An 11,121-nucleotide genomic window follows, 5' to 3' on the forward strand; every position below is an offset into this window, starting at 1 on the left:
TATGGCGGTGTGCGCCTGTAGTCCCAGCTGCTGGGGAGGCTGAGGCAGGAGAATGGCATGAACCCGGGAGGCAGAGCTTGCAGTCAGCTGAGATCGCACCACTGCACTCCCGCCTGGGCAACAGAGCGAGACTCCATCTCAAAAAAAAAAAATTAGGATTTCAATACATGAATTTGAAGGGGTGGGCACAAACATTCAGTCTATACCAGTTATGGAATTTTACTTCAGATATCACTTTCCCTAAGAATTTCAAAGGAATTGCTCCCTGGAATTTCCCAAATACAACACTATTCTAATTCCTGATCACTTGTATAAAATGCAGTTATTTTTTTCTCTGAAATGTTTTAAGATTCATTAATTTATTCTACACATATTTACTGAGCACCTGTTTTGTGCCAGGCTCTATTCTTACAACTGAGAATACAGAAGTAAGTGAAAGACACAAAAATTTCTATCCTCTGGGCACTTATATTCCAGCAGGTGAAATAAATAATATAAAGATAAATAAGTAAAACACATAATGGGTTAGACGGTGACAAGTGCTAAGGAAGAAAATAAAACAATGAAAAATCAAAACAGAAATAAAATTTTAGATAGGATAGCCAGGGAAATGACTTCTGAATGAAGCCTTGAAGGATGTGGGGATATTAGTGGGTGAAGACAATGGCATTCCAGGCAGAGGAAATAAAGGTTCTGTGGGAGGTATGGTGACTTTGTACTGTCTACTTAGCTAAGCTAATTTCAAGGAGTTTCCAAGTGTGGTTCTTGGCTAGGATTGGCCACAAGAGTCATTTGTTCAAGTTTGGAAAGGTAAAAATGAAGCGGCAGTCATTTTTTCCTCAGAATATTAATGTAGGCCAGGTGCTATTGTAGCTCATGCGGTTGCTGCCTTTGTTGATATGGGGCAGCAGCTGGGACCACAGCTCTTCCAGCTTCTGATGGATGTCCTCTTTCAATTTCTTCAACCACTGGGCCGTGTGCATGTTTAACTCCATGAAAAAAGGCACTAACTTCTCCAACAGAGAATGCTCCACCTGCAGCATTGGAGCTAGAGTTTGGAGGTGGTGAGAGATCACTGTGGGTTCTGAAGAGACACATGTGAGTTCCAGTTCATCATTCATTCCAGCTCCTTCTCAAGGGTCTCATATTGCACTTGATCTCCCCCACTTTCTATCTGTCTTTTCTTCCCAAATTCCTGCCATGCTAATTTCAGAATCAGCATCATATGCAGAAGCAACAGAAATTTATAAAGTGTTTAACAAGCTACCTCAGTTGCATAAGGTCAGAGCTCTAAAATTAATCACTTATTCTATGTCATTCATTGAGGTTCTGTTTCTTGGATCTCATACAGCAAGATAAGGTCTAGCTTGTGGGAGAAGCAGCAAAAAGGCCAATGTGGCTGTAGTGGGGCAAACAAATGGGAGAGTGACAGGAGGTGAGTTAAAAGAGAAAATGAGACCAAATGGTGAACTTCTTAAAGTTATAGCTATGATATTTTACTCTGATTAGATGGAAAATCACTGGAAGATTTAAGGCAGAAGAGTGACATGATCTAATACTTGTAATCCGATCACTCTGACTGCTGTTTAGGAGAAAGATGAAAGGGAAACAAAGGCAGTGGGAGGGAGGCCATTTAGGACATTATTTTAACAATCCAGGCAAGATGTTATGGAGACAAGAGATGTTGGTGACTTAGACCAGAGAACTGACATGATAGTGGTGAGAAATAGTTGAGTTCTGGACTTCTAAAAGTTAGAATCTATATGCTATGCTTATGTAACAGGTATATATATCTACTGGCCTGCGCAACTGTAAAGTATGGAGTTGCCATTAACTGATATAGGAGAGACTGGAGGTGAAACAGATTTTGAAAGGAAGATTAAAAGCTTAATGCTAGATGTATGAAATTAGAGATGCTTATTAGAAATTTTAGTAGAGAACTTAAGAAGACAGTTGGATATACTGGTATGGAGTTCGGGGCTGGAGATAAAAAATTGGGGTGTGGTCAGCAATAAATAGTATTTAAAATAAGGATGCCAGTTGAGATAAGCTAGGAAATAAGCATAGCTACAAAAGAGATGTTCAAGGGCCTAGAGATTTAGAGCCTTCCCCAAACATTTAGAGATCAGAGGCATGAGAACGAACTAGCAAAACATACTCATAAGTGGTCAGTGGAGTAGAACTCCAGCCAGGAAACTGTGATATTCTAAAAGATAGGAAAGAAAATATATCAAGACAGGAGTGATCAATTGTATCATATACTGCCATGGGTCAAGTAAGATGAGAATGGACCATTGTATTTAGCAACATGGCGGTAATTATTAGTTAATGAACCTGGTGGCATGTTGGAGCAAACCTAGTTGGTTCAAGTGAGCATGGGAGAAAATAATTTGGAGACATTGAGTATAGACAACTCTTCCAAAGAATTTTATCACAAAGGGAGGAAGACTAATGAGGTGGTAACTAGAGGAGATATGGGGTCAAGAAAGTTTTTGTTTTAAAGGTGTGAGAAATAACAGTGGTTTGTATGCTGTTGGGGATGATATCCTATAATGGGGAAGCTGATGGTGTGGTAGAATGGAGAATGGCTGGAGCAGTGTTCCTGTGAGGGGTTGGATCTAGTGCTCAAGAGGTAGGGTGGGCCTTAGGGGGAGTGTGCCTAATGCATGCCCCAAAACAGGAGAGAATGAAGAATACGTGGGCACAGATGTAGGAGAATGGGTAGGTGTAGAGGGCCAGGCTGCAGGAATTCTTCTTTGATGGCTTCAGTTTCCTTGGCAATATAGAAAGCGAGGGGACAGCTGAGAATGGGTGTGGGGAGATGCTGGAGGTTGGAAGAGAGGAACACAATGGGAAGTAGTTGCCTGGGAGAGGGAAGGGTACTATCATCTGATTGCTGGGAATCAGTAAGGGCCCACTTGAAGTTAATGATCATGGCTTTAAAATTACACCAGTCAATACGACTGTTTGTTTTCCCATCTTTGTGTTCCAGCTGCACTCGGTACAGAAATGGAGTGGAGAGACATTTAACTTAACCAGATTGTGCTTTTGCTCAGAACAGATGAGAAAGTACAAGAAGGACAGATATTAAGGTTCTATCCAAGGAATTGGTTAGAATAATTGACAACTGAGTTTAAACTGAAGGAGATAAGTGAGGGCATGAGGAGGGTAAAGGACTGAGAAAGATGATTAAGCTCAGTGGATGTTTTCTGATTCCTGTGTTTCAAAGTGTCTTGAGATGTGATATGGTGTGGGTCTTTTCCCATTCATTGAGCGTGATGCTCTTTTGGCTTTTCAATTTATGTCCTTCAGTTCTGGAAATTTTTTTTTCTTTCTGATGCTCATTCTTATTTCATAAATGCAATATCATCTCATAGTGCTTGGAAACATTAATTATATTTTGGGGGGATTTTTTTTTTTTTTTGCTCCCTGCACTGTCTCTGTTTTTTCCGAAGTTCTTCTTCACCAGTACAATGAAAGCCTGTGTATCCTTCAGCTTCAACTGTTAAAAATATTTTGTCAATTTGTTTCACCTATTCTGTCAACTCTTGAGCATTTATTTTAATACCTCATTTGAATTTCGGTTTTAATTACAGTATATTGACATACATAAATCTCTAAATTTTGGGGGCTGATTGGGTACTGCTCCACCATCGGGCTCTCACTTTCTCATAGTCCACCATGCTTATTCTCTCCGTTTTCTGCTTTTGGCAGCTTGGATTTCATGCTTTGTTATTTAATAACACTTCTGTTAATATCTGAAACTTCCTGGCTCTCTTTTTCTCTCTGGCAAAATTCCAACCTTGAATAAACTCAGAAATTTCCTCTCCTTTACTTGCATCTAAGCAACCTAGGTTTGTTGGAGAACATCCCAGTAAAGGAAAGATTGGCTTCTCCCTAAATTTATAATCACTGATCTCAAGTAGGCCCTCAACACTGCTTAGAAATCTTACTACATTTTCCTGGTCAATTCATTCTCTGTCCTTCTCAGCAACAACTTAAAAGAAATTCATATTTCTCCAACTTTCAGTCCCACCCCCTACCTTCCTCTTCAAAATCGGAAGAGAACTTAGCCAGTTACTGTTGGAAAATAGAATCCATAAAACATAAACTCTTTCAGCTTCCCAAACTCAAACTTATTCTTAACGCTTAGTGACCTCTTAGCTATCCCACTGCTATTCTCTCTCTCTCCACTAGAGGAGCTCTTTTTCTTTCTGAGGCCAATTACTTTACCTTCGCTTGGAACCCATCCTATTCCACTTTCAGAACATTTACATTATGTATTATGCCTTCTCTTATACACCTAGACTCTCTCTCCTTCCCATCAGCTTTTAAATATGCTCAAGACTTTTCAATTAGAAAACAAACAAAAAACTTTTCCCTTCTTCAATCTACATCTATTCCACCTCTTTTCTTTCTTGTTGCAAAACCTACTGAAACGTCAGCCTATTCTGATCTTCTATCTCCAATTCTTGATTAAAACAAAGTTACTCAAGTCGCCAATGATTCTCATGCTGTTACATTTTTTTCAGTCCTCATCTCACTTTGCTTCTCAGCAGTATCCAACACTGTGGACCTGCATTTCTGAAACACTGTCTCTTTACTTTTGTGACACAGCACTATCCCTTTTTTTTTTTTATTTTCCGAGATAGAGTCTCACTTTGTCACCCAGCCTGGAGTGCAGTGGCACAATCTTGGCTCACTGCAACCTCCGCCTCCCGGGTTTATGCCATTCTCCCAACTCAGCCTCCCAAGTAGCTGGGACTACAGGTGCCCACCACCACGCCCGGCTAATTTTTTGTATTTTTTTTTTTAGTAGAGACGGGGTCTCCCCGTGTTAGCCAGGATGGTCTCGATCTCCTGACCTCGTGATCTGCCCACCTCGGCCTCCCAAAGTGCTTGGATTACCGGCGTGAGTCACTGCACCCGGCCAGCACTATCCTATTTTTTATTTTAACTTCCTACTTTTCTAATTAATCATTCTCTCCTCTTTTAAAGACTCATTTCTCTTTATCCAGCATTTAAATTTTAGAGTTCCTTCAGACTCCTAAGTCCTTTTTTCTTCTTGCTGTAAACTCTCACCAGGTGATTTCACTTATGCTCTTGAGTTCCTTCACTTCTCCATAAATAAGCCTAATCTTTATATCTCTTCTGATCTCTAAATACAAAAATTATTTACCATCTTCATCTGTATGTCTCAAAGGCCCCTAAAAATCAACATATTCTAAACTTAACTTGTGATCTTGGTGGATGATAAAAATCACCATATTCCAAACTGAACTAAGATCTGATGATATGTTTCCTACCTCAGTGATCACTGTCCATCAGTATCCATCCAGCTATGCAAGCTAAAGACCAAGGAGTCATCTTTTCTACCTCCAATCTCCTTCTTTTCTGTGACTCATATCTAATTTGTCACCAATACTGTCTAACTGGTGCCCTATAGCTACTCTGAACCTCAACAATCTATTCTCCAAAAGGCAGGCATAGTAAATTTAATCATATCATCTCTCTCACCGAAACACACTAAAACCCTTCATTGGTTCTCTATTGTTTTTACAGAAAACAACCAAAATCTCAAGATTGACAGATGACTTATAAGCCACTGCCTTGACCCTATTTATGTTTCTGGCCTATTGCACAGCATGCTGATCATTTAGTTTCTTGAAAATGCCATACTTCCTCCATTCCTGGCTCTGGGTCCAAGCTGTTTCCTCTCTCTGGAAAGTCCTACTAAAATCTCCCATTGCTCTGCCAGGATAAATCCTCTGCATCACTCAGATCTTACTTCAGCTACCACTTCCTCAAGGAAGTCTTCCCTGACTATCTGGGTCAATGCCCTCAAGTAGGTATATGCTTTCAGGCAACCACACCTTTTTATTGGTGTGGTTCTTTGATTAATGCCTATTTTGCATTAGGAACTATTGAATTCTCAGCCTCTCAACAGTGCCTGACACATTTTATAATGCTCAATAAATGATAGCTAAATACACAATATACACATTTTTTTCTATAAATGTATCATGAATAGTTTAAACTTTCAGTGAAATCGTGATTTCCAGAAAGGTTGTAAAACCAGACTTAGAAAGCAGGTCAAGGGATGGCAGACTGGGCAGCAGGGAATACTGTGGTCAAAATCAGGGCCTTGGAACCTCATTGTGAGGTTCATATAGCATAATATCTTCAAGGTTCATCCAAGTTGTAGCATGTGTTAGAATTTCCTTCTTTTTTGAGGCCAAATAATATTCCATTGTGTCTATATACCACATTGTGCTTATCCATTCACCCATCAATGAACACTTGGGCTGCTTCTAATTTTGGCTATTGTGAATAATGTTGTTTTGGGCATGGATGTACAAATATCTATACAAGTCCTTGCTGTCAATTCCTTTTGTTATATACCCAGAAGTGGAATTGCTAGATACATATGGCAGTTCTATTTTTTAATATTTTTAGGAACTGCCATATATTTTTCCACAGTGGCTATGCCATTTTACATTTCCACCAGTGGTAAACAAGAGTTCCAATTTCTCCATATCCTAGCCAACATTTACTATTTTCTGTTTGTTTGTTTTTTATAAAAACCATCCTAATGGAAGTGAAGTAGTATCTCATTGTGGTCTTGATTCGCATTTCTCTAACAATTAGCAATGTTGGGCATCTTTTCATATGTTTATTGGCCATGTATATATCTTTTTGGAGACATTTCTATTCAAGTTCTTTGCCTGTTTTAAAATCAGGTTGTTTATTTGTTGTTGAATTGTCCCTTTGACTCTTGAGATTATGTTTTTTCTTGCCAATTCGTCTTCTAAGGACTCCGAAAGCATCGGGAAATAAATGGAAAGACGAAAATTTAGTAAAAAATAGTATTCTACTATAATGGGTATGATTGTTACATCCGGTTCTATATAAGCAAGGCAGTTTCAAAGCCTCAACAGATGGTGCACAGCAATTGAGCTTTGCTGATAGAGTTACAACAAATTCCATTGAATTAAAACTCCCACTTAGCAGATGCCTTCAACAGTTGTTGTCCTCTCTGAAGCTAATCTCTGTAGCAAAGATATTGTTCTTTTGGTGTTTGTCATTTGTAATGTGTTTGGATCTTTGAAATTTGAGATTTTTCCGTGAAATACTATATTGGCATGTTGGTGGTAGTTTATTTCAGCAGAGTTGAGGGGTAGGAGGATAAAGAGATAAAACATACTTTCATCTCTGACAAAAAGGCACAATGGAGGTGGGTCATTAATAAACCAGTAAAAAACTCGCAAACAGGACATGCATGTATGCTTTATTTACAAAAATGTCCAATATATCTCAAGATTATTTTGCTAAAGATTGCAATATATATTAGTTTTAAGGAAAGTTAAATATTATAAATTATTTTTTATCTAAGCAAGATCACTAAAATAGGACTCTGTTTACAGCTCTTATAATTACTATTGTTAGATTTTCTAAATATCAATAGTTGCTTATCAAAACTGGTAAAAAATGCAAGCAAATCTATGACTAAGCAATTAAATTTTATTGCGTGAAAGTAATATTTAATATAAGATTGAGATGATTTATCAAAATATTTCATTCTGTAAAGTCTTACCAAGTTCTTTAGAGTCCAGAATTTTCCTTTGTACAAATCATGAAACATTCCTTTTTGGAGGGCTATTAAGAGAAGACAACACGGGATTGGAAACAGTACAGAGAGATGCAAATAAAATCATCCAGTTTATATTGCCTCTGCACATTTATTACTGGATAATTCATCATCATTTCAAGCTCATTGTATGTCCAAAGCAAATTCATTATTTTTAACCTGTTGGATGTTCCTAATAACCACCTCTTATCTCCATTTCTAAGTCCAGTCCCTCATTCAACAACCATGAGGGCAGCAAGTTCTTCTTGGTCTAATTAACCACAAAAATCTGGCAGAACTAGACTTCTTTAAATCTTGCTTTCATCTCTATCCTTCTCAGGCAGTATAAACATTTGTAATAGCTCCTTGTTTAATCTCACATCAAGTCTTTTAAACTCTGGCCTTCCAGAGTTCTCATAATTGGGCCTTACCTTGCCTATGTAGCAATATTTGTCCCTCCCTCCCATTGAACCATCTCTGCTCTATAGGTCCCTTCCTTCACTGTTCTGCCTCTTGCCCCCCGTATTAGTCAGGGTGGGTTCTCTGAGGGACAGAACTAATAGGATAGATGTGTATATGAAGGGGAGCTTATTAAAGAGTATTGACTCACATGATCACAAGGTAAAGTGCCACAATAGGTCGTCTGCAAGCTGAGCAGCAAGGAAGCCAGTCCAAATCCCAAAACCTCAAAAGTAGGGAAGCCGACAGTGCAGCCTTCGGTCTGTGGTCAAAGGCCCAAGAGCCCCTGGCAAACCACTGGTGTAAGTCCAAGAGTCCAAAAGCTGAAGAACTGGGAGTCTGATGTTCGAGGGCAGAAAGCATCCACCACGGGAGAAAGATGAAGGTGGAAGACTCAGCAAGTTGGCTTCTCCCACCTTTTTCTGCCTGCTTTATTCAAGCCCCCCTGACAGTTGATTAGATGGTGCCCCCCACCCCACCCTACATTGAAGGTGGGTCTGCCTCTCCCAGTCCACTGACTCAAATGTTAATCTCCTTTGGCAGCACCCTCACAGACACACCCAGGAACAATACTTTGCATCCTTCAATCCAATCAAGTTCAAACTTAGTATTAACCCATCATTTAGCATTGGGTATATCTCCTAATGCTATCCCTCCCCGCTCCCCCCACCCCACAACAGTCCCCGGTGTGTGATGTTCCCTTCCTGTGTCCATGTGTTCTCATTGTTCAATTCCCACCTGTGAGTGAGAACATGCAGTGTTTGGTTTTTTGTCCTTGCAATAGTTTGCTGAGAATGATGGTTTCCAGCTTCATCCATGTCCCTACAAAGGACACGAACTCATCATTTTTTACGGCTGCATAGTATTCCATGGTGTATATATGCCACATTTTCTTAATCCAGTCCATCACTGTTGGACATTTGGGTTGGTTCCAAGTCTTTGCTATTGTGAATAGTGCCGCAATAAACATACCTAATGCTAAATGACGAGTTAATGGGTGCAGCACACCAACATGGCACATGTATACATATGTAACAAACCTGCACGTTGTGCACATGTACCCTAAAACTTAAAGTGTAATAATAATAAAAAAATAAATAAAATAAAATGAGAAAATAATAATAATAATAATAATAAAAGAAACAGTATTAACCGTCACACCACCTCTTGCCTCTGGCTTCTCCACCCAAGACCTAACCCCTGGAGTCCTGAAACATTTCCTGCTTTCAATTCCTGTAGTGCTCAGAGTTAGAACTTTTCAGTTTATTTCCCAATTATACACTGTTTCTGTGATTTTATACTTGTGAGTCACCTCTTCTATTACATTATAAGCTTCTTGAAGGTAGTTTAAATGTTTCATGGAAAGCCAGTCAGTTCACATAGGGTTCTAGTTACTTTTCACCATCTCTACCACCAATGCCTCCAAATCCCCCACTAGAACTGCTACAATACCCAAGGGACTGATCTCTCTCTGTCCACTGTTGTTCCACAATCTATTTGCCACCTGCAGCCAGTGATCTTTGGGAAATACAAATCTAATCCAGACATTCCCCTGCCTAAAACCTCATTGGATGCAGCTGTGTTCCAATAAAACTTTACTTACCAAAACTTGTGATGAGTCAGATTTGTTTGCTGACCTCTGATTTAGATTAGCTTAGATTAGCTAGAATTACAGAGGTAAGAGAAAATTGGTTTTTCCAATCACAGTGAAAACAAACCTACAATAAGAATTCTCACACCCTAGATGTTTACTAAGCCAATCTTCCTGTCAGTGATTGACTCAAGAATGAACTATGACTCACCTCTGGCCAGTATGGAGAGGAGGTATACTGAGGACATCTGGGAAAATTCCTCCCACTCTTAATAAGCAGCTGCTGGTCTGCCCCTGGCCACTGCCTGGAATGGCTGTGTGATATCTGAAATCACTACAGCCACCAGCCTGAGGATGAAGCTTAACTAAGGAAGGTAGAACCAAAAGATGGAAAGAGCCAAATCGACCAACCATGGATCATGCCCTGCCTTTGGACTTCCCGTGAAGGATCTCTTTTCTTACTGTGTAACCCCATCAGAAATGAGGTTTCTGTGAACTGAAGCTGAAAGTGTCCTAATTGATTCAATTTTATATCTCCCCAAATTTATTTTAGTTACAAATATACCAAACCACTGGTACCTCCATGTAGGGAATTTCTTGTTTCTTTTAAGAGACATCATCATGGTATTTTACCCTTCCCTGAAAAATCGTCAGGTGTTGAGGCTGCCATTTCAAATCAGGAAAAAGGGAATAGCATTGCCCAGTTATTTTTTAATATTCATGCTCTTACCCCAGAATAAATACCCTGGAAGCCCCAGCCCTGCATTTTTTTTTTTTTTTTTTTTTTTGAGACAGAGTCTCACTCTGTCGCCCAGGCTGGAGTGCAGTGGCGCGATTTCGGCTCACTGCAAGCTCCTCCTCCCAGGTTCACGCCGTTCTCCTGCCTCAGCCTCCCGAGTAGCTGAGACTACCGGCGCCCACCACGACGCCCGGCTGATTTTTTGTATTTTTTAGTAGAGACGGGGTTTCACCGGGTTAGCCAGGATGGTCTTAATCTCCTGACCTCGTGATCCGCCCCCCTCGGCTCCCCAAAGTGCTGGGATTACAGGTGTGAGTCACTGCTCCCGGCCGCCCCAGCCCTGCTTTTGGAACCAATTCTTTTTAGGCTCTTCCTCTGACTCAACATAGCAGACATTAGTGACCACCTATCCTGCAGCCATTCTGTCCACTCGTCTTTCCTGCAATCAGAACCTTGATTTTGTTCAGCTATCAGGATACTGCATACTTTAGAAAAGACTGAACCTTCCCCTAGCTCTAGGGAGGATAATCTTCATTAATCTAAGTCCAACATAGAAATTCTATTTTCCCTACCAGTGAATGATTTAAGAATGGGCATGTCTAGAATTCTGAACAGTGACTAGGGGAGAGTTTTTCTGTCTTAAAAGGGGATACAAGAGAGATTTTTTCTGTTGTAAAGTACTTGAAGCTGCTGCAGCCATCCTGC

The 11,121-nt window shown here is 39.9% G+C and overlaps 1 annotated feature.

Annotated features, from left to right (window-relative positions):
- Window positions 9,784–9,984: a silencer, noted in NCBI's record as "peak4924 fragment used in MPRA reporter construct". NCBI's record gives its function as "represses an SCP1 promoter by STARR-seq MPRAs in K562 erythroleukemia cells {active_cell/tissue: K562}" and the evidence as "EXISTENCE:reporter gene assay evidence [ECO:0000049][PMID:32103011]".

This window comes from Homo sapiens, chromosome 3, assembly GCF_000001405.40.
Source record: "Homo sapiens chromosome 3, GRCh38.p14 Primary Assembly".
NCBI lineage: Eukaryota > Metazoa > Chordata > Mammalia > Primates > Hominidae > Homo > Homo sapiens.